The 27,656-nt window shown below is 48.0% G+C and overlaps 1 pseudogene across 1 annotated transcript, besides 1 other annotated feature; it reads left to right on the forward strand.

The window, feature by feature from the left end:
- The first annotated feature begins 397 nt into the window (after window positions 1–397).
- ABCC6P1 (ATP binding cassette subfamily C member 6 pseudogene 1) lies at window positions 398–27,439 on the forward strand (annotated as a pseudogene). The gene is made up of 10 exons (NR_003569.1): window positions 398–461; window positions 2,027–2,210; window positions 3,911–4,036; window positions 4,176–4,304; window positions 9,360–9,485; window positions 11,556–11,617; window positions 14,956–15,087; window positions 20,254–20,457; window positions 21,689–21,866; window positions 25,917–27,439. The product of NR_003569.1 is annotated as an ATP binding cassette subfamily C member 6 pseudogene 1 (transcript).
- Window positions 5,877–6,171: an enhancer, noted in NCBI's record as "tiled region #10538; HepG2 Activating DNase matched - State 5:Enh". NCBI's record gives its function as "activates a minimal TATA promoter and a strong SV40 promoter by Sharpr-MPRA in HepG2 cells {active_cell/tissue: HepG2}" and the evidence as "EXISTENCE:reporter gene assay evidence [ECO:0000049][PMID:27701403]".
- Window positions 27,440–27,656: the final 217 nt, after the last annotated feature.

The raw sequence follows: 27,656 nt of genomic DNA on the forward strand, positions 1-27,656 counted from the left end.
TCCTTGTTACTAACGTGTGCACACCTTTCAGTTCTCTCATCAGGATGAACTCCTGGAAATTGCTGGGTCCAAAGTGTTTGGGAAGTTTGGAGTGATTCTTGTTGCAGGGGGAAGAGGGAACTATGGAGGTGTCACTGAACTTTCAGGGGTTCCGGGACCCCCCAACCCGGTGCCCGTCCCAGCTCCCCGAGCGCCTCTCTTCCCCCCTCCCCCACCTCGCCTGTTTTCACCTCCCGTGGCCTCACTCCCGCCGCGCAGCTGGACCTTGCCCGGGGCCTCCCGATCCCGGAGCTCGAATCCCAGCCGGACCAGCCTAGCCCGACCAGCCCAGCCCCGCCTCTTCTCCGGCAGGATCGCGGCCGAGCAGTCTGCCCAGAGACTTAGCGACAGACAGACGCTGGGACCCACGACGACAGAAGGCGCCGATGGCCGCGCCTGCTGAGCCCTGCGCGGGGCAGGGGGTGAGTGCCCCCCATCGCGCCCCACTCTCCTTTTCCAGGCTTGGTTTGGCTGCAGATCTCTCGGGCTGCGATACTGGGGAGAGGAGAGACCCCCAAATTCCTGGACCCGGGAAGCGAGGAGACTTACTCCGGCCCCCTCACTGCAGCGGGTTGGATTTCTTTCACCAAGCCAGCCGCCGAGAGCCCAGCTCTATTTAAGGGGCCACCAGACCTCCCAGCTACTAGAGGCTTTGACCCTTCTTTGCATAAAGCTAGTGGGTCCCCCAAGCCCTCCTACCCCCGGAGAGCCCTTACCTCTCTGGTTTCTTTTTCCATTGCTCTTAGCAAAGGACTCCAGGGAGTGGAGTTCATGGAGTGGGGGTGGGGGTTGCAAACTGCCAGCATTTCGAGGGCCAGGGAGTTGAAGCAATAAACTGGCAATGAACTGAGGGCTTTCTCTGTGCCTAGCCTTGTGCCCAACCTTGTGCCATGCTGCTATGAACTTTGCTGCTATTCATCCATTTAATACAACTCATAGAGGTAGAGTCTCGTTATCCCCCTTTTGCAGGGAAGGAAACTGAGATACAGAGAGGTTAAAGTTTGCACAGCCAGTGAGTTGTGAAACCAGGAGGAGTAAAAAGACAGCGGAGAGAGAATTGAAGAGGCCACGTCCACTAAACTTCAAATTTCTTCTAGGGTTAGATAGGACCAGCAGACCTGCTGAGATGAAAATAACAGATCAAGCTGGGCCGGTGGCTCTTGCCTGTAATCCCAGTACCTAGGAGGCTGAGGCAGGAGGATTGCTTGAGGCCAGGAGTTCGAGACCAGCATAGAGAGACCCCCATCTCTACAAAACATAAAAAAAAAATTAGCCAGGCCTGGTGAGGCGGCTTATGCCTGTAATCCCAGCACTCTGGGAGGCCGAGGTGGGAGGATTGCTTGAGCCCAGGAAATTCGAAGCTTTGTTAAGCTTTGATTGTGCCACTTCAGCCTGGGCAACAGAGTGAGACCCTGTCTCTAAAACATAAATTAATTAATAATAAAAAATAAAAATAAATCATACATCAAGACCACCAGTCGAACGAGGTTTGGGGTCAGATAAGCCTGGGTCAGAGTCAGCTTTGCCACTTCCCATTTGTGTGTCCCTGGGGGAGGCATTTCCCCGATTGGTGCCTCAGTCTGCTGGTTTCTGAAATGGAGACAGTACTGTCTGCGTCCTGGAGTTGTTATAAGGATTAACTGACAGTCCATGCCTAGCAATGATTATGGAGCCCAGGTCTCCTAGACCACATGGCCCAGTTCCCTGGGTTCAAATCCCAGCCCTTCCACTCCTCAGCTGGGTAAACTCAGCAAAGTTACTCAACCTCTCTGGTCCTCAGCTTCTTCATCTGCAAATCAATATAATTGCAACTACCTAGGGTTAATGTCAGGATGAAAGGAATTGAGAATTAGTAGGTATTCCAAAGAGTGCTTGGCACATTTTTGTGTAAATGTTAAAGATCCAAAAAGTTGCCTGGCCCCCCGGGCAGGTGAGCTGGGGACCCCTGCCTTGTACCATCCTAAGGGTCCTCTTTGTGTTCCCTCAGGTCTGGAACCAGACAGAGCCTGAACCTGCCGCCACCAGCCTGCTGAGCCTGTGCTTCCTGAGAACAGCAGGGGTCTGGGTACCCCCCATGTACCTCTGGGTCCTTGGTCCCATCTACCTCCTCTTCATCCACCACCATGGCCGGGGCTACCTCCGGATGTTCCCCACTCTTCAAAGCCAAGATGGTAGCTGCCATCCCTGGGAGCCTGGAACCAGGCAATGGTGGGGGGAGGCAGGGGACAGGCTGGAACCTGGTGAAGTCTTAAAGTAGACTCCTCCTATCGGGGTGTAGAAGGGAATCTGTTAATCAAACAGAGCAATATTAGAAAGGCTACAGAGGTCAATTCAGTGGAACACGGTTCTCCCAAACAGATTTTGTAATTCCGAAAATCCACGCATGCGCAAACATACGCATACACTCCCATGTTCCTGGACAGTTTATAGCTACCATAACCTGGCATTTTCCAAAACATACCATGTAGACTCTTGGATACACAAGGTAATTTTAGGGCCACATTAGGATGAACCTTTTAAAAAGTTATGCATTTATTTTTATGTTCCCCCACTGGCTGTATTATAGGACAATTTTTATATGTGATATGTATTTACCTTAGTGTGTTAAATAAACACTGGCATTCCAAGTGTGAGCCTTTCTGCTCATCCATCCTCTTCTACTCCATTCTTGTAGGCTTCCAAAGAATGTTCTTCAGAGTTCATTCATTCTTCTGCCATTGTATTAATTTTTATATTATCACCCGCCACCAACCCAGGGGTTGGCAAACTTAAAGAGCCAAGCGGTACACAGTATTTGAGACTTTGTGAGCCAGGTAATCTTCCTTCCGAACACTGAACTCTGCCATTCCAGAATGAACGCAATAGTCATAACCATAGACAATAGTCATGACTGTGTTACTTTTTTGTTTTGTTTTGTTTTTGAGATGCAGTTTTGCTCTTGTTACCCAGGCTGGAGTGCAATGGTGCGATCTCGGCTCACTGCAACCTCCGCCTCCTGGGTTCAAGTGATTCTCCTGCCTCAGCTTCCCGAGTAGCTGGGATTACAGGTGCCCACCCCCACACCTCGCTATTTTTTTGTATCTTTAGTAGAAACAGGGTTTCGCCATGTTGGCCAGGCTGGTCTCCAACTCCTGACCTCAGGTGATCTGCCTGCCTTGGCCTGCCAAAGTGCTGGGATTACAGGTGTGAGCCACCACCCCCGGCCGACTGTGTTTCAATAAAACTTTATTTGTAGTCACTGAAATTTGGATTTCATGTAATTTTCACCTGTCATGACATATGCTTTTTGTTTTTCTTTGATGATTGATAGTTTGCCAACTTCTGCTTTAAACTGAGGTTCTTTGAGCAGTTCCTCCAACGTAACCTAGCTCTGGCCTTCCCTCTGGTGTGCCCACGTTCTCTCATTTTCTTCCTTTCTTTTATTCAATAGAGAAACCAAAATATATTAGAGAGACCCTAGAGACTTACTGGCCCAACAGAGAGTTGCTTCTTGATTTCATAGCAAGGATTGAAAAATGACTTGGAGAAAGGATAGTTTTTTACCTGGTGAGTACATTTCATTTCCTGCTGTTTCTCCATACCCAGAGTCATCTCATATGTGCACGATTGGAGCACTTCCTGCATTTTGGAAAACATTCGGTTGGCTCAAGCCCTTCCTGTGCATTATTTATATGACAGTTACAGGTCAGGAGTGATCTGCAATGCCCTTTACACATTGTTCACATTGGCACGTTTCTAGCTGGTGACCCTGGTATACTCAGTATCAGCCAGGATGCTGCAGAACCAGCTCCCAGTTGGACATGGGGCCGCCTACCAGTTTGCTGTGACCTCTCTTATTGCCCCCCAAGCTTATCTAAGCCTGTATCCTCAGGTGCTTGGATTCGCCCTCATAGTCCTGTGTACCTCCAGCGTGGCTGTCGCTCTTTGGAAAATCCAACAGGGAACGCCTGAGGCCCCAGAATTCCTCATTCATCCTACTGTGTGGCTCACCACGATGGTAATGATGCCCTCAGTCTGGAGCCCGGCTTCCTCCCAGCTGCTGCTTTGCCTGCCACAGTGGAGAACAAGGGGAAGAGAAGAGGCTCCCCTCAGCCTCCCACCCTCCCCTAAGGGGCCTCCCTGACTTTCCCGTCCAGAGCTTCGCAGTGTTCCTGATTCACACCAAGAGGAAAAAGGGAGTCCAGTCATCTGGAGTGCTGTTTGGTTACTGGCTTCTCTGCTTTGTCTTGCCAGCTACCAACGCTGCCCAGCAGGCCTCCGGAGCGGTAAGTCGGGGCGTGGGCCACCCTGGGAAACCAAAATGGTGGTTCATGCCTTGGGTCCCTTCCTTTCTCCTCCTGTTTCCACATACAACTTATTCTCTATACAGTGACACACACAAGCCAGTCACTTACACTCTAGAGACACAAAATCCACTCCCGCACCTGTCAGTACCCATCATCCCATACATTTCTTATCCACACAATTTCCTGTCTTACACGCCCACATCACACGTGCCACTTGCTCACGATGCACACACTTATAGGCACTGATTCATACATCGCACAAGTACATGCATGCACGCACACACACACAACCTGGGCACAGACACACCTGTGTGCACACATACCCCTCCGTGCACACCTCCCCTCATGTCATGGATTCACCCTCCCCATGTTCCTATGCACCTATATTTACACACTCATTCTGCACACCACTCGTATTTCTGTTGTCCAATCTGGGAAGCAGCTTTTTTTTTTTTTTTTTTTTTTTTTTTGAGAGGCTTGCTCTGTCGCCCAGACTGGAATGAAGTGGCATGATCTCAGCTCACTGCAATTTCTGCCTCTCGGGTTCAAGCACTTCTCCTGCCTCTGCTTCCTGTGTAGCTGGGATTACAGGTGTGTGCCACTACACCTGGCTTATTCTAAATTTCTACTAAAAATTTTTGTATTTTTAGTAGAGACGAGGTTTCACCATGTTGGCCAGGCTGGTCTCGAGCTCCTGACCTCAAGTGATCCACCTGCCTTGGCCTCCCAAAGTGTCGGGATTACAGGCGTGAGCTCTTGTCATTCGGCCGGAAGCAGCGTTTCTCTATTAGGAGACATGATGGGTCATTTTCTCTGTAAAGAGAAAAACATGTAGCCTAGACCAGCTTCCCTCAGCCTCAGCTTTAGTAATGTTGTGGCCAGACAATTCTTTGTTGGGTGGACAGGGCTGTCTTGTTTGCTGCAGGGTGTGAAACAGCATCCCTGGCTTCTGCCCATAGGTGCCAGTAGCATACCATCCAATTGCAGTAACCCAAAATGTCTCTAGATATTACCAAGTGTCCCTGGGGGTGAGGAGGACAAAGTCACCCACCTATTGAGAAGCACTGGCCTCGACAGTGTGCTTAGCCAAGGCTTCTGGGAGAGGGAGTTAGCTTAACACCAATGAATAGGCTGCAGCAGGTTTCAGATATTTTACTTCATTATTTTATTTTTGTGGAGACAACATCATGCTTTGTTGCCCAGGCTGATCTTGAACTCCTGGGCTCGAGCAATTCTCTGACCTCAGCCTCCTAAAATGCTGGGATTAGAGGCATGAGCCACCACGTCTGGACTCACAGATCATTTCTTCAGTCCAGTGGTTACTCCATCCTGCTCCTAAAGGAGAAGGTAGAGAAGCATCACCCTGTCCTTAAGGACAGAGTTTTTATTTTTTGTTTGTTCATTCTGAGACAGAGTCTTGCTCTATTGCCCAGGCTGGAGTGCAGTGGCACGATCTTGGCTCACTACAACCTCCACCTCCCGGGTTCAATCGATTCCCATACCTCAGCCTCCCAAGTAGCTGGGATTACAGGCATGTGCCACCATGCCCAGCTAATTTTTGTATTTTTAGTAGAGACAAGGTTTCAATATGTTGGCCAGGCTCATCTCAAATGCCTGACCTCAAGTGACTCACCCACCTCGGCCTCCCAAAGTGCTGGGATTACAGGCATGAGCCACAGCGCCTGACCAAGGACAGAGTTTTTAAAAGAGTAACCTTTGTAACTAAGGGGAAATTCCACAGGTTATTCAGTAATTTCTGAAATGGTGGGCTCCCGCAGTTGACATAAGTCAGCTTTTTGGGACACAGCATAGAAACAATAATACTGGGACCATATACACTCTGGGGTTCCAACCATGTGCCAGGCACTGTGGCAGGCACTTACACACGTCTCCTCACTGGATTCTCACAAGAGTTCACAGTGATGGGTTCTTCTTTATTTTTTTAAATAGAAATAGAAACAAAGTCTCATTATGTTCCCAAGGCTGGTCTCAAACTCCTGGGCTCAAGCGATCTTTCCACCTAAGCCTCCCAAAGTGCTGGGATTACAGGCTTGAGCCAATGTGCCCCAGCCAATGATGAATTCCAGCCGTCCCATTTTAAAGATGAGGGAGACTAAGGCTAGGAGAAGGGAATGACGGCCTCAGGGCCACAAAGCTTGGGAGTGCAGAGCCCGAGTTCATCTCAGGCAAATTCAGAACAAACTTTCTGAGAGAAACAGTGGGGAAAACAGTGGGAGTTTAGGGAAGATGGGCCATATTGTCATTGGAATATCCAATTGTCTGCTATCTGCCAAAAAACAAACAAACAAACAAAAACCCCAAAACTAGAAGAGTATAAAATCCAGTAGAGGAATCGTGATTTAAAACTAGGGCTCTGGTTTAAAGCCATAAAACCTCAGTTCACACTAGCTTAATGAAAAGGGAAAGTCAAGGGGGTTCATTAGCTCATGCATTTATTAGCTCATACCCATGGGATCTCCCAGGCATGACTGATCCAGGCCTGGGACCAGGTACCATCACCAGATCTCCACTTCTGCCTCTTGGCTCTGCCATGTTAGCTTGATTCTCCAATGGAGTGGCAAGAAGAGCCACCAATACCTTCATACTTACATTCTAGCATGTAGCAAAGCCAGCAGAATCTCCCGATGGTTCCAGCTCTCAAGTACCCAGCATTGGGTGCTATGTGCATTCCTAACCCTGCCATGGTAGCCAAAAGACTCGAATGTATTCATTGGCCAGGCCTCATTCACCCACCCAGCCTCGGAGTAGGGTCAGTTCTACACAAATCACACGCCTGAACACAAGCAAAAAACTTAGGAAGAAAGAAAATCAGTACATGGAAGAGATCTCTGCACTCCCATGATTATTACAGCACTGTTCACAATAAACAAGATTTGGAAGCAACCTAAGTGTCCATCAACAGATTAACTGATAAAGAAAATGTGGTATATATACACAATGGAGTACTATGCAGCCATAAAAAAGAATGAGGTACTGTCATTTTCAACAACATGGATGTTAAGCAAAATAAGCCAGGCAGAGAAAGACAAACTTTACATATTCTCACTTATTTGTGAAAGCTAAAAATTAAAACAATGTAACTCATGAACATATAGAGTAGATGGAAGGTTACTAGAGGCTAGGAAGGAAAGTGGGTGGGGGAAATGGGGGTGGTTAATGGGTACAAAAAAACAGAAAGAATAATATCTATTTGATAGCACAACAGGGTAACTATAGTCAATAATAATTTGATTGTACATTTTAAAATATCTAAAAGAGGCTGGACACAGTGGCTCACACCTGTAATTCCAGCACTTTGGGAGGCCAAGGCAGGAGGATCATCTGAGGTCAGGAGTTCAAGACCAGCGTGGGCAACATGGTGAAACCCTGTCTCTACTAAAAATACAAAAAAAGTAGCCAGGCGTGCTGGCACACATCTGTAATCTCAGATACTCAGGAGGCTAAGGCAGGAGAATCACTTGAATCCAGGAGATGGAGGTTGCAGTGAGCCAAAATCAAGCCACTGCACTCCAGCCTGGGCAACAGAGTGAGACTCCAACTCAATAATAAACTAAAAAATAAAATAACTGAAAGAGTAGAATGGATCATTTGTAACAGAAAGGATAAATGATTGCGGGGATGGAGACCTCTTTACCTTGATGTGATTATTATGCATTGCATGCCTGTATCAAAATATCTCACGTCATCTAGAAATATATATAGCAGGCCGGGCGCAGTGGCTCATGCCTGTAATCCCAGCACTTTGGGAGGCCAAGGCAGGCGGATCACCTGAGGTCAGGAGTTCAAGACCAGCCTGGCCTACATGGTAAAACTCCATCTCTACTAAAAATACAAAAATTAGCCAGGGGTCGTGGCACATGCCTGTAATCCCAGCTACTCAGGAGGCTGAGGCAGGAGAATCGCTTGAACCCAGGAGGCGGAGGGTGCAGTGAGCCAAGATCATGCCACTGCACATCAGCCTGGGTGACAAAGCAAGACTCCGTCTCAAAAAAAAAAAAAGTATACACACACACACACACACACCTAAAATTAAAAAATAAAAAATGTTTTAAATTAAAAAAAGAAAGAAAATTAGGGTGTTTCTGACCAGATGACAGGGCAGAAGGTGCAAAAATCATTGTGGTGTGGCAGCAGGAGCATCACAATTTGGACCAGATCATCTGCGTGTCCTTGAACAAGGTGCTGTCACTTCTCTGAGCCTTGTTTTCCCCATGAGTCAAAGGAAGCAAGTAAACTCCAGCTGATGAGACTGTGTATGGCAAGAATGCCGCATGTGCCCAGGGCAGGGTCAGTGCTCAATAAAACCAGCTCTCACCTCTGCAAAACAGAGAACCCTGGCCAAGGGGGAGCAGGGTTGAAGATTAGGGTAGAGGGTGGAATGGAGAAAGGATTTCTTTTGTGGCACAAAGAAGAAGGTAAATTGTTTCTTCATCTCATTGTCCCAGCAGCTGTGGCCAATCATCACGTGGCTAAGGACAAAACCCAGACACAGCCCTGGCCCACCATTTGTACAGACAGAATATTATAAATTGGGTATTTGAAAATTAGGACCTGCTGGGCGTGGTGGCTCATGCGTGTAATCCCAACACTTTGGGAGGCCAAGGCAGGCAGATCACTTTAGGTCAGCAGTTTGAGGCCAGCCTGGCCAACATGGCAAAACCCCATCTCTACTAAAAATATTTTTTAAAAACATTAGCCAGGCATGGTGGTGGGCACCGGTAATCCCAACTACTAAGGAGGCAGAAGCAGGAGAATCACTTGAACCCAGGAGGCAGAGGTTGCAGGGAGCCGAGATCATACCACTGCACTTCAGCCCGGGCGACCAAGTGAGACTTTGTCTTTAAAAAAAAAAAAGAAAGAAAATTAGAACCGCTAGGAAAGCCAGGGCTCTGGCTTTCAAATACTCTTGCCCTGGTCCCCAGAGTGGGCACTGACCCCAGATCAGAAACCTTTTCTCTCCTCTGAGCACCCTCCTCTGTCTCCATTCCTTACCTTCTGCTTTCCCTCCCACAGGGCTTCCAGAGCGACCCTGTCCGCCACCTGTCCACCTACCTATGCCTGTCTCTGGTGGTGGCACAGTTTGTGCTGTCCTGCCTGGCGGATCAACCCCCCTTCTTCCCTGAAGACCCCCAGCAGTCTGTAAGTCACCAAGTTCCAACCTCATTCCTGTTCCACTTTGAGGTCTCAGTCTCCCCCAGGTGACCAAAAGTCTTTAATTTTTTTATTCATTTAGCCATTCAGCAAAAAGTGTATCGCATTTCTACTCGATGCCACAGTTGGCAGACTTTTTCTATATGGGCCAAGAGAAAATATTTTGGACTCTGTGAGCCATACAGTGATCTCAGTGGCAACTACTCAACTCTGCCATTGAACGCAAAAGCAGAATATGTCAACAAATTGCATGGCTGTGTTGCAATAACACTATTTGCAGAAACAGGCAGTGGGCCAGATTTGGTCATAGTTTGCCAAACCCCGCTATGCCCTAGCAAGGGCATAAGGATCTATGGTGAACAAGCAGATAGAGTTTCTGTTCTCACGTAGCTACTGGTCAAGCAGGGGAACCAGACACTGGTCACAAAATTAAACAAATATGTTGAAAATTGGATGGTCACAGTGGCTCATGCCTGTAATCCCAACACTTTGGGAGGCCAAGGCAGGTGGATCACTTGAGGTCGAGAGTTCAAAGCCAGCCTGGCCAACATGGTAAAGCCTCATCTCTTCTAAAATTACAAAAATTAGCCAGGCATGGTGGTGCACGCCTGTAATCCCAGCTACTCGGGAGGCTGAGGCAGGAGAATTGCTTGAATCCGGGATGTGGAGGTTGCAGGGAGCCGAGACTGTGCATTTGCACTCCAGCCTGGGCAACAAGAGCGAAATTCCACCAAAAAAAAAAAAAAAGAAGGAAAAAGAAAATTACCCTTGGCGTAAGTGCTCCATAGAAGAAGCTCATGAGAGATTGAGAGATTTACAATAGGTAACACTGAAGCAGTCTGTGAAATCAAGAAACAATTCTTTTGTGGAAGAGACTGATCTGACATCATATAAACAGATGTTCAAATGGGGCCAGATGCAGTGGATCATGCCTGTAATCTCAACACTTTGGGAGACCGAGGAAGGAGGATTGTTTGTGCCCAGGTGTTCTAGATCAGACTAGGCAATGTAGTGAGACCCCATCTCTACAAAAAGGTTTTTAAAAATAGCCAAGTGTGGTGGTGCATGCCTGTAGTCCCACTACAGAGTAGCTCTGTGGAGACTAAAGCAGGAGGATTGCTTGAATCCAAGAGATAAAGGCTGCAGTGAGCTATGATTGCACCATTGCACTCCAGCCTGGGTGATAGAGCGAGACCCTGTATTCAAAAAAAAAAAAAAAAAATTGCTCGAAGGCTTGAGAATAGTTAAAACTATCATAGGAATCTTTTTTGTACCTACCAGAGTAGGAACAAAATTTAAAAATTGATAAGCTGCGATGGCAAAAACGTGGTGAAATGGGCACCTTCACGCCTTATTGGTAAAGAGTACAGACTGTTGTAATCTTCCTGGAGCACCTGACAAAAATCGCACGACAGGTCTGTCTTCACAACATTTGCCGAGGGATATTGTCAAGGATCTAATTTCTTCGTTATGCAGTGTCCTTCCTTTTGAGAAGCAAAGCAAGGTTTTGGTTTCAGTATAATCATAGTTGTTCTTCTGAGCCACTGTTAGTTCTTACCTTGTGGACATTGTCAGGCCTGTGGCCCAACCTCTTTTTACGCTGCCTGCTGGGAAGCACCAAGCTCACTGGTCTACACCCCTGGCAAGGAGACAGGGCACCTCGATGTTTACTTTCAGTACTAAATACACCGTCAGGGCTGGGTGTAGTGGCTCACGCCTGTAATCCCAGCACTTTGGGAGGCCGAGATAGGCAGATCACTTGAGGTTAGGAGTTTGAGACCAGCCTGGCCAACATGGTGAAACCCTGTCTCTACTAAAAACACAAAAAATTAGCTGTGTGTGGTGGCGCACACCTGTCATCCCAGCTCTTTGGAAGGCTGAGGCAGGAGAATCGCTTGAACCCAGGAGGCAGAGGTAGTAGTGAGCCAAGATCACACCGCTGTACTCTGGCCTGGGCAACAGAGTGAAACCCTGTCTCGAAAAAAAAAAAAATACACAGTTCGTCCTGTCTTCCTACCCTTGCCACATACTTCCCTTCTCCATTTTTGTCTGTTGCAGAACCCCTGTCCAGAGACTGGGGCAGCCTTCCCCTCCAAAGCCACGTTCTGGTGGGTTTCTGGGTAAGTAAAGTCGCACGGAAGGGTTGGGGTGGTGCCTCACCCGCCTGCATTTGCTGCTCTGATTCCCAGCCATGGCCCTTCCCCTGTGCTTACAAAGGCCAGCAAGTCTTTCTCCATCCCAGCCTCAGTGCTTTCTTCTTCGTGTTCAGTGTCTACCATCTGCATCCTGTTCCCATTCACTCACTGGAGTGAGATCTTGATTTGAATCCCGGCTCTGCCTGTTAGCAGGCCATGTCGCAAACCTCCGGAGTCTCAGTTTTCCCTCTGTAAAATGGGGATGACTCAACCTGCATGAGACGGAAAGTGCTTAGTGCTTGCACACAGCGGGTGCTTAATAGTAATAGAATTGTCTCCAATACTTGATTTCAGTCATTCCACCAACATTTAATAGGCACCTACTATGTGCTAAGCCCCAGGGGTGAGGAGATAAAGGAGCAAGTGTCTACTTTCTAGAGGGTTCCAGGCAGATTGAGAAAATAGCTGCTTCTCCAGGGCCAGCTCACAAGGCATTTGAGGATGTGCTCCCTCCCAACCACACGGCATTCAGACCTCAGTAGCACCTGACATGTGGATTTGAATCCTGGCCCTACCACTTCCTAGCTGTGTTGCTTTGGACAAGTTACTTAACCTCTCTGTGCCTCAGTCTCCACTCCTTCAAAATGGGATTAATAATAGCACTTAGCTTATAGGGTTGTGAAGCTTAAATAAGATAAGATCTGTAAAGCACTTAGAACAGGGCCTGGCAAATAATGAGTGTAAGTGGTAATTATTTTTTTTTCTTTTGAGATGGAGTTCCACTCTTGTTGCCCAGGCTGGAGTACAATGGCACTATCTTGGCTCACTGCAACCTCCGCCTCCTGGGTTCAAGTGATTCTCCTGCCTCAGCCTCCCGAGTAGCTGAGATTACAGGCATGCACCACTATGCTCGGCTGATTTTGTATTTTTAGTAGAGACAGTGTTTCTCCATGTTGGTCAGGCTGATCTCAAACTCCCGACCTCAGGTGATCTGCCCGCCTCGGCCTCCCAAAGTGCTGGGGATTACAGGCGTGACCCACTGTGCCTGGGCTATTCATTTTCTCTTTTTTTTTTTTTTTTTTTTTTGAGACAGAGTATCACTCTTGTTGCCCAGGCTGCAGTGCAATGGCACAATCTCAGCTCACTGCAACCTCCACCTCCCAGGTTCAAGCAATTCTCCTGCCTCAGCCTCCCGAGTAGCTGGGATTACAGGCGCCTGCCATCATGCCCAGCTAATTTTTGTAGTTTTTTGTAGAGACTGGGTTTCACCATGTTGGCCAGGCTGGTCTGAAACTCCTGACCTCAAGTGATCTACCACCCTCGACCTCCCAAAGTGCTGGGATTACAGGCATAAGCCACCGCACCCGGCCTAAATGGCTATTAAATAAATGAAAAATATCAGGCTTTGAATGTGTGGAACTGGTAGAAAGAGCTTAGAGATTTTCTAAACAGCTCTACTGGGGGGTCCAGCCCCTGCTTCCCAAACTTAAGCATTTATGGACCACTCTTGATGCTTTTTTGTCCTACTGGGGCAAAAACTAAATTGAGTCACTTTTTTTACTTGAATAAAGTGTTTTTAAAAAGAAACTCTCTATCACTGCTAAAATAGGAAAAATCTATAGCATCACTTGCCATATAGGAGAACTCCAATAACAATTTCAGGGAAAATCAAGCCACGTTAATAATTTCTATGTCAGAACGGTTGCTTCCCCAAGTTGGCTCTGCATTAGAAAAGGGAACTTGGTGGCCTGGCGCAGTGGCTCACGCCTATAATCCCAACACCTTGGGAGGCTGCAGCAGGTGGATCACCTGAGGTCAGGAGTTCGAGACCAGCCTGACCAACATGGTGAAACCCCATCTCTACTAAAAATATAAAAATTAGCCAGGTGTGGTGGTGGGAGCCTGCAATCCCAGTCACTCAGGAGGCTGAGGCAGGAGAATCACTTGAACCCAGGAGGTGGAGGTTGTGGTGAGCCGAGATCACACCAGTGCACTCCAGCCTGGGCAACAGAGTGAGATTCCATCTCAAAAAAATAAAAAGAATAAAAATAAAAAAGAAAAGGGAACTTGGTAAGGCTTAGAGAAGAGTCAGAGATCAGAACCAGGCAAGACCTTCTGGCTGGTGTCATCAGAAAGATTAAAGAGACCTGAGGCCAGGCACAGTGGCTCACACCCATAATCCCAACACTTTGGAAGGCCAACCCCGACAGATCACTTGAGGCCGGGAGTTCGAGACCAGCCTGGCCAACATGGCAAAATCCCATCTCTACTATAAACAACAAAATTAGCCAGGTGTGGTAGCTTACGCCTGTAGTCCTAGCACTTTGGGAGGCTGAGGTGGGAGGATTGCTTGAGGCCAGTAGGTCGAGACCAGCCTGGCCAACATGGTGATACACCACCTAAAAACACAAAAATTAGCCAGGTGTGATGGTGGCTTGTAATTTCAACTACTCAGAAGGCTGAGGCGTAAGAATCACTTGAGCCAGGGAGGCGGAGGTTGCAGTGAGCCCAGATCACGTCAGTGCACTCCAGCCTACGCAACAGAGTGAGACTCCGTCTCAAAAAATAATAATAATAATTTAAAAAAAAAAGCTGAGGGAGGAGTTCAAGCTTCTTCTACAATGATAGTTTTGGTCAACGGACTTCCGATTCCCAGGGAAATGTCTGTTTCCCTTGCCAAGGGCTATCCCTTGGTTTAGCCACTGAATCTCTCTGCACTTCTATTTCCTTCCCCATCTGTAAAATAGATCTATAATAATATACTCACACATTTATACAATTATAAACTATTAAATTACAGGCTGGGTGTGGTGGCTCATGCCTGTAATCCCAGCACTTTGGGAGGCTGAGGCAGGTGGATCACCTGAGGTCAGGAGTTCGAGACCAGCCTGGCCAACATGGTGAAACTCCATCTCTACAAAAAATACAAAAATTAGCCGGGTATGGTGGTGGGTGCCTGTAATCCCAGCTACTCAGGAGGCTGAGGTAGGAGAATCGCTTGAACCTGGGAGGTGGAGGTTGCAGTGAGCCGAGATTGCACCACTGCACTCCAGCCTGGGAGACAGAACAAGACTCCATCTCAAACAAACAATAATAACCTACCTTATGGGTTCATGTAAGAATTAATGAGACAATCTTTGTGAAACGAGAAATGCCCTGCAGACATTAGGTGGGGTTAGTGAATTGCTTTCTTTTTACCCAGGGGCCAGTAGAGGTACAGAGAGGTAAAGTGACTTACCCAGGGTCACACAGCTACTTGCCTGGCCAGGATCCTGCAGGGGTGAATGGCAGGAAAAGCTTTCCCTGGTGCCCCTCTTTTGCAGCCTGGTCTGGAGGGGATACAGGAGGCCACTGAGACCAAAAGACCTCTGGTCGCTTGGGAGAGAAAACTCCTCAGAAGAACTTGTTTCCCGGCTTGAAAAGGAGTGGATGAGGAACCGCAGTGCAGCCCGGGGGTAAGTGGGTGGAGGTCAAGAACTCACCTGATGCTCCTTCAGAAAAGCTCATCATTGGCCGGGTGCGGTGGCTCACGCCTGTAATCCCGGCATTCTGGGAGGCCGAGGCAGGCGGATCACAAGGTCAGGAGTTCAAGACCAATCTGGCCAACACAGTGAAACCCCATCTCTGCTAAAAATGCAAAAATTAGCTGGGCATGGTGGTAGGCACCTATAATCCCAGCTACTCAGGAGGCTGAGGCAGGAGAATCGTTTGAACCCAGGAGGCAGAGGTTGCAGTGAGTGGAGATGTCACCATTGCACTCCAGCCTGAGTGACAGGGCCAGACTCCGTATCAAAAAAAAAAACAAACAAACAAGACAAAAACAAAAACAAAAACAAAAAAAACCTCATCATTTGACCCCCAGTCCAGCCCCCAACGCTACTCTGGCTGCACTGCCGCCTCCCCACCTTGCCTTCCAGCTGATCCCACTAAGTAGTATCAGGCTCAAGATATGGTTCCTCCCAGAACGCATCACAGGTTCCTACAAACGGGGAACAAACAGGTTCCTACAAATGGGGAAATGGCAGAATGACAGGCAGCAAACAGAAGAGGTATTTTAAGGCCGGGGTGGAGGGTTGGGAGGGGACTCAACACACAAGCAGCTGCTCACTTACTATATAACCTGAGCAATTCCTTTCCTGGGCCTCAGTTTTCTCATCTGTTCAGTGGGGATGTCATTAGCCCCAGCTCATAGCTTATGGGGATGAAAAAAAAGGATGATTTATGGAAAAGAACTTGCAAATGTCTTGCAAATGGGAAGTGCTCAAGCACTGTTAGTCATCCAGAGGGTGTTAAGATCTTTGGAGTTATCCACTCTGTCCACTCCTGCCCTCAGTGGCATCTCTGGAAACTTCTCTGCAGCCCTTAGAGCCTGGGATGCCTCATTTGAGAAACTCTGGTCTAGATAAATGAGCCTGCATAGGATTAGATAAAATTGGGTTAAATGCTGCCCTGCCTTCAAATAGTGATGACCCTGGACACGTTGCTTAACCTCACCGGACCTTGGTGTTTCAGGAGACAGAACAAAAAAGGAAGTTAGCTCTGTGGGAAGTTCCCTGCATACTCCGGGATTTTGTGGTAGTTGTTGCAGATGGCTGAATCCCACACATTAAGAGAGACAGAGGAGACAGAGACTGATACTATAGGCTCACACAGCTAAGAGGATCTAGCCTCAGGTGTTGCTGGATCAGGGGACTCAAATGATGTCAGGATTCTCTCCTTTCATCTCCCATCCCAACTATTGTCTATGTGTTGGTCTCTCCATAAGGCCTATCCCTTCCCATGCAAGTTCAGCAAACTCCAGCAGAATGAGAGAGCATCTCTCTCCTAACGTCCATATAGTAAATCCCAAGGAAGGCCTCTAATTGGCCCGGCTCAAGTCATGTGCCTTTCAGGGGCCAATCCCATGCCCAGGGGGCTGGTGCCATGACTGGTGGTCCCTTCAGAGCCACAGAAGTGGGTAGGGGCTGTTCCCACAAAGGAAGGGCATGTGTTTTTCCAAACAGAATAAGTAGTGTGAGAGAACCAAAACATCAGTTCTCTCTCACCCCAGGCATGGCTTGCTGGACCCCCTTCACTGGGTTGGTTGGTTGGTTTGTTTTTTGAGACAAGAGTCTCGCTCTGTCACCCAGGCTAGAGTGCAGTGGTATGATCTCGGCTCACTGCAACCTCCACCTCCTGGGTTCAAGCGATTCTCCTGCCTCAGCCTTCTGAGTAGCTAGGACCACAGGCGTGGGCCACCACATCTAGCTCATTTTTAAATTTTTTAGTAGAGACAGGGTCTCACCATGTTGGCCAGGGTGATCTTGAACTCCTGACCTCAGGGTATCTGCCTGCCTTGGCCTCTCAAGGTGCTGGGATTACAGATGTGAGCTACTGCACTTGACTCACCCTCTACTTTTAAATGATTTTACGGAAGTGGCAGAATTCAGTCCACAGGGGCTCTGGAAGGAGCCTCTGCCAACTCCTGGCATCCCCAGCCAACATGAAAATTACAGGTCACCCAACACTAGAACTAAAGGGTAGAAACATTCTCCAGAACAGTTTGAGAATCCTCCCATAAACAGTTGACAGAAAGAAAGGGGAAAGATGGGGTTATACAAAGACCAGGCTCCGTCAGCTTCTGAAACAACCGACTGCACCCACAGAGAACTTTGGTTTTCTTTCTGAAGTATTTTGCAACCACTGGGGGAAGGGAGAGGGCGTCCTCCTGAGAGGCCACACAACAGCCACCTGCTGGTCAAGTCGGCTTCACTAATTTTTGTATTTTTTATTAGAGGCGGGGTTTCTCCATGTTGCTCAGGCTATCAGACTGGCCCTGAACTCCTGACCTCAGGTGATTCGCCCACATTGGCCTCCCAAAGTGCTGGGATTACAGGTGTGAGCCACCGTGCCCGTCCTCCACCACTCCCTTTTGTATCCCCCAACTCACACCTTGCCCATGCCACTCATGCATACCCCCTGCCTTGCCCCACCATCATTTGTGAGATCTGCACTAAATGGCCTTCAGTCCAGAGACCAGACGTCAGACAGCAATCTGGACATCTTCCTTGATGGGAGGTGCGACCTGCAGGAGAGGAAAACACTTGCTATGGAGCCTGCAGGCTGAACACACTGACTCTCTGGGGCAAACAGCTCAAATAGAACTGAGCAAAACCTCAGCCAGAAAGAAAACTTTCCAGTCAACTCTTCCCCGACCCCATTTTGCACATGGAAACACTAAGGCTCAGAGGAGAGGAGACAGAGCAGGCATTGGAACCACAGTCTCCTGGCTCCAAAGCCAAGTTCTGTCCACCCAGCCAAGCTCCTTCCTTCCTTCTATAAATTTTTATAACAGCATGTGCGGGGGGCACTCTTATTAGGCCCTTTGCACACATCACTCAATCTGTTTTTCCCATTCATTTGACAAGTGTTTATTGAGCTCCCACTGTGTGCAGGAGCTGGACTCTATACTAGGGACATCTTGGTGGAAAACACAGGCAAAGTCTACCCACCTGGGGTTCTAACGAGACAAAGAGAGGGTTGGAGCCATGGGCATAGCTGTGAAGGCAATGAATTAAATGGCAGGATCAAACAGGAAAGGGTGGGCAGGGATGCTCTCTGTATGGAAGGGGCATCTTCTTGGCTTTGAGATCCAAATGCCAAAATATTTGTGAGCAGCAGGCCACACCCACTCAGTAACAGAGCTGAACCACAACCCTCCATAGATGCCAAACCAAACACCAGATCAGACCAATAATGTGGGACAGAGACCTTGGCCTTGAAGGGTCTGGCCACCTGAGCTCACCAGAGGTTTTTTCTTATGCTTCTTTTTTTATTATTATTTTATTATGGTGAGGTTGGGGGTCCTTAGTGCACAAGAAACCCTCTACGAACCATAAATCAAGATCTAGGCTCAAAACCCTGCTCTGCCCTTGCTGTGTGACCTCGGGCGGCTGTCGCCATCTCTCAGAGCCTCAGCTTCCCCTTCTGTAAAATGGAGAACCTAATAATGCTCACCTGGCAAGGGGATCCAGGGGAGTCAGTGAGCTCCTTCGTGTAAAGAGCTGATCCCAGCACGTGGCCCCGGGTCACAGATCTGTAATGGGGATTGAAATTACTGATAAGTGGCCAGGCATGGTGGCTCACACCTGTAATCCCAGCACTTTGGGAGGCCGAGGCAGGTGGATCACCTGAGGTCAGGAGTTTAAGACCAGCCTGGCTAACGCTGTGAAACCCTGTCTCTACCAAAAATACAAAAATTAGCCAGGCATGGTGGTGTGTGCCTATAATCCCAGCTACTTGGGAGGCTGAGGCAGGAGAATTGCTTGAACCCAGGAGGCAGAGGTTGCGGTGAGCCGAGATTGCTACACTGCACTCCAGCCTGGGTGACAAGAGCGAAACTCCGTCTCAAAAAAAAAAAAAAAAAGAAAAAGAAATTACTGATAAACTTATAGGTTGTCAGAGCCACAGGGGACTCAGCGGAGGACCACACCCATCCTCTCACACACAGAGAGAGGAGCAGTGTCCCCGCCCAGGACCACACAGCAACCGGACTGTCAGCAGCTGCATCGCCCCAGCCTCTCCTTTCTGGCCCAGGGCTTCTGACCTGCCTCACAGGCGCCCTCGGGCCTCCCCCATCTCCTCCCTCCCTCCCTCACCTTAGCTCTTCTCTGTGGCCCCTGGTTATAGCCAAAGGCTGGGGATCTTATTAGTTTGAGGCAGCCTGAGCTTCTGTCTGCACTTTCACCCAGAGCTAGAGCACCAGGCCCCATGCCCATCAGCCATGATTCTCCACCAGTTCAAAACCACCTAAGGGCTGGCTGATTGTGTGTGTTGGGGACGGGGTGCTGTTCTTCCTCCAGGTTGACAACACGATAGGTTGAAAAGTACATGAGAGGCCAGGTGTGGTGGCTCACATCTGTAATCCCAGCACTTTGGGAGGCTGAGGTGAGCAGATCACCTCAGGTCAGGAGTTCAAAACCAACCTGGCCAACATGGCATAACCCCTTCTCTACTGAAAATACAAAAATTAGCTGGGTATGGTGGCACTTGCCTGTAATCCCAGCTATTCGAGAGGCTGAGGTGGGACAATCACTTGAACTGGGAGGTGGAGGTTGCAGTGAGCCGAGATCACACCACTGCACTCCAGCCTGGGCGACAGAGCAAGACTTTGTCTCAAAAAAAAAAAAAAAAAAAAAAAGATAAAAGAAAAGTGCATGGGCTCTGGAGGCAGAGAGCTGGAATCAAATTCCAGTTCTTTTACTTCTCAGCTGTGTGCCCTTGGGCAAGTTCGCTTCTCTGAGCCCCAGTTTTCTCATCTGTGAAATGGGAACAACACCTGGCTTCTCAGGGGGTCTTAGGATGACTGGGGAGTGCCTGGCACATAGTAGGTGCTCAACAGGTGTGCTTTCCCATGGCCATCTAAGAGGCCTCAGAGTGCCCTCCTGCCCTGCCCCCCAACTCCCATGATTGTCTCTTAAGTGGGTACTCAGGGTGATAAGGAGGAACAGGTGAGGGAGCCAGGCTAGATCCACACCCACCCATCTCCACTGTTGGGAAAACAACCCTTTAATGCCTGGCCCTGCCGCTGGTGGCTGAGAGTATAAAATGGGACCCAGAGCTAATCTCTCCCTTCCCCTCAGGCACAACAAGGCAATAGCATTTAAAAGGAAAGGCGGCAGTGGCATGGAGGCTCCAGAGACTGAGCCCTTCCTACGGCAAGAAGGGAGCCAGTGGCGCCCACTGCTGAAGGCCATCTGGCAGGTGTTCCATTCTACCTTCCTCCTGGGGACCCTCAGCCTCGTCATCAGTGATGTCTTCAGGTTCACTGTCCCCAAGCTGCTCAGGTGAGTCCCAGACCTCAAGTGCCCTGCTAAGGTGGGTGGTCTCTTAGTGGCATCCTTCCAGGGCCAGGGGGCTTCAGCTCTCCTGCCTCTGCCTATACATCTGGTGCTCGGGACACTGGATGGTGGGTGAGAAGGATACTGAGGAAGGGAAATGGATTAATGAGAAAGTGACTGACCCCCAGAAGGGCAAATAAGCAAGCTCTTACCTGACTGCACCAATTAGTTTTTGCTGTAAAATGCCCCAAAAGTGAGTGGCTTAAAATGACAAACATTCTTTTATTTAGTTCATGGTAATGTGGGTCAGTAATGTGGGCTGGGCTCAGCTGGGTGGTTCTTCTTTTCTTGGCTGGGTTTTCTCATGTGCCTGCAGTTGTGTATCTGAGACTGGGATGGCTGTCTCTGCTCCATGTGGGTCCCCATCCTCCAAAAGGCTAGCTCAGACTTGTTCATGTGGGTGCTTGGGAGGGTTCTAAGAAATAAACCAAAAACCACATTTTCTCTTGAGGCCTAGGCTCAGAGCCAGCATGGCTTTACCTCCACTGTACTCTGTTGGCCAAAGCCGGTTTTGTAGCCAGCCCAGATTCAAGTGGTGTCTGCTCAGCTGACATAACAAAGCATCACAGACTGAGACTGAGTGGCTTGAACAACAGAAATGTATTTTATCATGATTCTCGAAGCTGGAAGTTCGAGATTAGTATCTGCAAGGTGGTTCCATCTGAGGCCTCTGTCCTTGGCTTGCAGTTGGCCACCTCCTCCCTGTGTCCCCATATGGTCTTTCCTCTGTTTGCGCCCCCTGGTGTCTCCTTATGTGTCTACATTTCCTCTTCTTAAAAGGACCCCAGTCAGATTGGATTAGGGCCCAGCCTAATGACCTCATTTTAACTTCATTGCCTCTTTAAAGGCCCTATTTCCAAATACAGTCACATTCAGAGGTACTGGGGGTCGGGGCTTCAACATATAAAGTTTGTGAGGACACAATTTAGCCTATAACAAGTGGGAACAAAAACTCCACCTCTTGATCTTGAGGAGCTGCAGTCAGATTGAAAAGGAGTATGGACAGTGGGGGAAATAACGGAGACCATTATTGCAAAAAAAACCACACTGACTGATCCTCCACACCTGGACTAGTTTGGGCCGACTGATCCTCCACATCTGGACTGGTTTGGGCAAAGGCAACACCCTTAGGCACCTCCTCTCACCAGCTGTACCTTCTCCCTCCTTCCCCTGCAAGCCTTTTCCTGGAGTTTATTGGTGATCCCAAGCCTCCAGCCTGGAAGGGCTACCTCCTCGCCGTGCTGATGTTCCTCTCGGCCTGCCTGCAAACGCTGTTTGAGCAGCAGAACATGTACAGGCTCAAGGTGCTGTAGATGAGGCTGCGGTCGGCCATCACTGGCCTGGTGTACAGAAAGGTGAGCCCTGGGGGACAAGGGCAGGTCTTCCCAGCCAGGAAAAGCAGTATCACTGAGCAGGCAGTAATGTTATCAGCAGCTGAGAACGCATTCAGTCCTTGCTTATTAGAGTCACTCACCATACATTCTCACTTCCTTAGTTATTTCTCTTTATTATATGTATTTATTTTTTTGAGACAGAGTCTTGCTCTGTCACCCAGGCTGGAGTGCAGTGGTGCAATCTCGGCTCATTGCAACCTCCGCCTCCCAGGTTCAAGTGATTCTCCTGCCTCAGCCTCCTGAGTAACTGGGACTATAGACACGTGTCACCACGCCCAGCTAATTTTTATATTTTTGGTAGAGACAAGGTTTTGCCATGTTGGTCAGGCTGGTCTCGAACTCCTAGCCTCAGCTCCTTAGTTATTCCTGTAAGGTCTTGTGTGATCTGTCCCTAGGGTGTCTCTGACCTCATCCCGTCACCTCCTCCCATGCTCACTCTCCTCCAGCCACACAGGTCTCCTTTCAGTTCCTCAAACACTCCAGGCACCCACCCACCCTGGGGCCTTTGCAGTTGTTCTCACTGCCTAGACACCGTTTCCACTCCCTCTAATCTAATTTTAATTTTTGAGCCTAATTTTAACTTCCACTCATTCCCCCTTGAGGATAAAGGATTAACCTTCTGATAAGGTGGCCTGTCAGCTGTGTTCCCAGACAATACTGCTTGAGGTAAAAATGACCCCTAGGCTGGGCACAGTGGTGCACGCCTGTAATTCCAGCAATTTGGGAGGCTGAGACAGGAGGATCACTTGAGGTCAGGAGTTCAAGACCAGCCTGGCCAACATGGCGAAACCCCATCTCTACTAAAAATACAAAAATTAGCCAGGCATGGTGGCGGGTGCCTGTAATTCCAGCTACTCGGGAAGCTGAGACAGGAGAATCGCTTGAACCCGGGAGGTGGAGGTTGCAGTGAACTGAGATCATGCCACTGCAGCGCAGCCTGGGTAACAGAGCGAGACCTCATCTCAGAAGAAAAAAAAAAAAAAAATCCCAAATTGCATCTGGGCTGGAAGTTCTGTCCATTGACTGTGAATACCTGGTTGGAGGCCATAGCTTTAGACTTCTCTCTGTGCAGTGGCTCTTGTCCCTTCCGGGGACTCTGGAAGCTAAGTCCCTGGACTGCTGCCCCAAGAGCTATTGGCTCCTGTGGGGTATGGAGCATCTGAGCCAGGGCAGGTCCCGTCCCATGTAAGTGTCATTCTCTGATACCTGAGCTGTCACCTAGGGGAGGAGGGGACAGAGGGGACAGCTCCTAGGTGGCTGAGAGGGCAGCTCTTGATGCTGTCCTGCCAGAGTGCTGCGTCCCAGGCTCCTGTTCCCCTGAGCATGCCAGAGCTGGGTGTGCCCTATCCTGTCTTGAGAGTCCACATTTCCTTGAGCCTAAGAGGAAGGCCGCCTGGTGAGCAGGCATTGATCTTCCTATTCCCCACCCACCCGCCAGGAGGCCTTCTTTGATCTCCTGATGAGATCAGATCCCTCCTCTCTAACCTCTGGGCTTTTTTTTTTTTTTTTTTTTCTGACAGAGTTTCGCTCTTATTGCCCAGGCTGGAGTGCAGTGGCACAGTCCTGGCTCACTACAACCTCCGCCCCCTGGGTTCAAGTGATTCTCCTGTCTCAGCTTCCTGAGTAGCTGGGATTACAGGTGTGCCCCACCATGCCTGGCTAATTTCGTATTTTTAGTAGACAGGGTTTCACCATGTTGGCCAAGCTGGTATCGAACTCCTGACCTCAGGTGATCCACCTGCCTCAGCCTCCCAAAGTGCTGGGATTACAGGCATGAGCCAACGCACCCGGCCTGGGCTGCTTTTTTATGTTACTCATCATAACTGCCATTAAAGCATGAGTTATAGAAATATTTTTGTTTTGTCTTATTTTTTTGAGACAGAGTCTCACTCTGTCACCCAGGCTGTAGTGCAGTGGTGCAATCTTGGCTCACTGCAACCTCTGCCTCCTGGGTTCAAGTGATTGTTCTGCCTCAGCCTCCCAAGTAGCTGGGATTACAGGCGCCCACCAGCACGCCCAGTTAATTTTTGTATTTTTACTAGAGATGGGGTTTTGCCATATTGGCCAGGCTGATCTCGAATTCCCGGCCTCAAGCAATCCACCCGCCTCAGCCTCCCAAAGTGCTGGGATTACAGGTGTGAGCCACTGTGCCCGGCCAGTTATATAAATCTTTATTATAGAGCCTTGTTCCCCACCTCAAACTCCAGTCCCGGGAGAGCAAGCCTCATCTCTGTTGTTCACAGCTGTATTTTCAGTTCCCAGCTCAGTGTGAGTCACACAGTGGGCACTCTTCAAAGACTTGCTAAGTGGAGAATTTCTATGTCCAGTCATTCCTGGATCACTTCTTCACTCCCTCACGCAGTCACAAAGGGAGGGCTGCATGTGGAATTTAGCATTCAACAGGCTGGAAGAGGTCCACTGTGACCCCAGGGTTAAGGCAGATGTGAGGCTGCCAGAGAACCAGGTTGGTGTCACAGAAGCACGTGAAAGGTCTCACCCTTGTCATGCCTTCGTCACCCTGGATTCCATTCCTTGTGTAGGAGCTTACAAGGCCTGTGACTTTGGGCAAGTTGCTCAACTTCTCTTTGCCTCGGTTTCTTTAGCCATAGGATGGGGTTAGTAAATGTTCATTTCATTGATTCTAGTCTCACTTTTTTTTTTCACTCTAATACTTCCAAAATCGAGATGTCTCTTACATGTCTTAATTTAACTGGAAGTGGTATTTTCCTTGGTGAGAGAATAATAGAGAGCAATTTATCCATAGAATTTTTTTTAAAGACAGGGTCTTGCTCTGTTGCCCAGGCTAGAGTGCAGTGGCACCAACATGGCTCACTGCAGCCTCAACCTCCTGTACTCAATTAATCCTCCCTCCTCAGCCTCCCCAGTAGCTAGCTGGGACCACAGGCGCACCACAACCATGCCTGGCTAATTTTTTCTTTTTTTTTCCCCCCGAAATGGATTTTGCTCTTGTTGCCCAGACTGGAATGCAATGGCTTGATCTGGGCTCACTGCAACCTCTGCCTCCTGGGTTTAAGTGATTCTCTTTCCTCAGCGTCCCAAGTAGCTGGGATTACAGGCGCCTGCCACCATGCCCGGCTAATTTTTGTATTTTTGGTAGAGACAGGGTTTCACCATGTTGGCCAGGCTGGTCTCCACCTCCTGACCTTAGGTGATCTGTCCACCTCGGCCTCCCAAAGTGCTGGGATTATAGGCGTGAGGCACCGCACCCGGCCCCCTGGCTAATTTTTTAAAGTATTTTGTAGAGCTTGGGTCTTACTATGTCGCCCGGGCTGGTTTCGAACTCCTGGGATCAAGCAATCCTCCCACCTCAGCCTCCAGAGTGGCGGGATTACAGGCAGAGGCCACTGCACCTGGCCTGGCATTAGAGGGAATGAATATGGTAGTGCCTGCTTGGTACCATTCATGGCTGTGAGCACCCCGGGAAAGGATAAGGCTGTTCATTTAGCACAGTGCCTGCAACATGGTGAGCACTGGGCAGATGACCACCGTTATCTGTGTTAATCTGGTGTTTTCTCCTAAGGCAGGAGGATCTCTGCAGTCTAGGAGTTCGAGGTTGCCGTGAGCCATGATTGCACTACAGCACTCCAGCCTGGGTGACAGAGTGAGACCCTGTCTCAGAAAAAATAAAAATAAACATTAAAAAAAACCTTTCCCCGGAAAGCAAAGATAACCAGAAGCAGGTTTATGTCTTGTTCTTTCAGGAATTCCAATCAAAAAAAAAATTATCTTTTCCAATAGTTGTAGCAAAGGTCCCAGAATTCTAATTGGTTCTGGTTGGCCCAATTTGATGTTTTTGATTGGTCAGGTCTGGGTCTTTTGCCCACCCCTAGCACCAGGAATAAATCAGGCCCATCTGAGCCACCTGCCTTGGGAGTAGGGGAAGGGATCCTCCTAGGGAAATAGGGGTGTTATTATTCAGAGAGATCATTAACCTGTGGACAGATAAGAACTCCAGATATCAACGACACTTCCTTACCACTCTTTTTCTAGGCATCCACAGCATATCTGAAGAAATATTCAGAAGTTAACTAATCTCAGATGATTTCAGCAGGAGTAAAGAAGAGAAACAGACTCAGAAATGCCATTACAACAGTTAATTATGTCAAATTTATCACCCTGATTGATCACGCAGCATTAACCTCAAGAACGCCAAGCCAAGTTTTTTTGACAAATGTGAGCCAAGGTTTCCGAAAAACTAGCAGATATGACTGTGACTTACAAAATGGAAAAAGTAAACGAGAAACACAATTTGATATGATTTAATAAAAGATTTGTTTCCACCACTTCTCCTGGGAACCTCAGCACATTTTCTTTCCACTGACAGTTATTATCTCTACCTTTATTGAACAAAGACACCCGGAACACAGCTGCTGAGGATCAGTAAAGAAAATCATTCTTTTATTAATAAGACTGTTATTAGCAGGAAAAAAAAATCCATGTTTGGGAGTTTGCACTGAAGTTACAGGCCATTTTGAAGAAATATGGCTGACTAGTGCCAACATTATTTCAGGCAATTTCATGATCAAATGTCTTATTAGGTTGTTTAAAATTTTTATAGAGATTGTAAATCAGAACTATTTTCTATTTGCCCTAAATATTTAGATGCTACAGGGAAAGCAGATCAAATTAAAGGGTACTGTGCACATTTTTTTACTGGGAACTCCCAGGGATATAAATCATTTCGCCTGCAGCATGGAATTCTTCAGTACACATGCTTGTGGAAACATTCCACGCTCCGCCAGCACGCTCATTAAAGTGATGATTTGGGTTGCAACAACAGTGCCAAGTACTTCCTGTGTTCAACTGGGGACCATGTGGCAAGACCCAAAGCTTCCCCAGAGATCCTATGGGAATAAGTTTTTTGAGCCACCATATTCCATTATTTCAGCCTAAAATAACACCATGGGACAAGAATCAGAAGACAGAGGAGCAGACAAATGTGTGTAGACATGCTGGAAGGAATCTTTCTTTTTAGAAACAGGGTCAATATCTATTAAACTTTAAGATGTGTATCTCTTGACCTGGCAGTTTCTGTATTTGAGTTTTAACCTACTGATATACCCATGCATGTGAATAAAGTATCTTCCTGCATGTAACAGGATATTTAATGTAACCTTGATTATAGTTGCAAATGCTGGGAAACGATCCAAATGTCTTTCAATATGGCACTGATTAAATAAATTATGGCACAGTCTCACAATGAAAAACAAATGTAGCCATTAAACAGAATGAAATGGGTCTAGCTAAATTGAAATAGGACTACCTCTAAGATATGTTGTTAAAAAGAAAAAAAAGAAAGTGCAGAGGAACAAGTATGATACCATTTTGTATTTTTTAACATATGCAAGCGTGATTGTGCCCACACAGAATACCTTTGAAAATAAACTCAGTATTTGCCTCAGTGGATAAAAACAAGAACCAGCCTTATTTTCACTGTTATATCTTTTGGTGCCACTTTTTGAACTTTTTACCATATGTGCATATGTAACTTTCTAAATAAATTTTGTAAAAAAGAGAAATATGGCTCGTTGCAATAAATCTAACAAGATAAAAGATTTGTTGAAGAAAATAATAAAACTATTCAGACATGAGCGTTCTTGAAAAATGGAGAAATACATTATTTCCTTGTATGGTAAGGAATGGTAAGTAAGCTGGGTGGTATGGTAAGCTGGATATTGTTCCCGACTCTTCATTCCCTCTCTTAACAGAATTATACATCCTTGCACCTTT

Source organism: Homo sapiens, chromosome 16 (genome assembly GCF_000001405.40).
Source record: "Homo sapiens chromosome 16, GRCh38.p14 Primary Assembly".
NCBI classification, from domain to species: domain Eukaryota; kingdom Metazoa; phylum Chordata; class Mammalia; order Primates; family Hominidae; genus Homo; species Homo sapiens.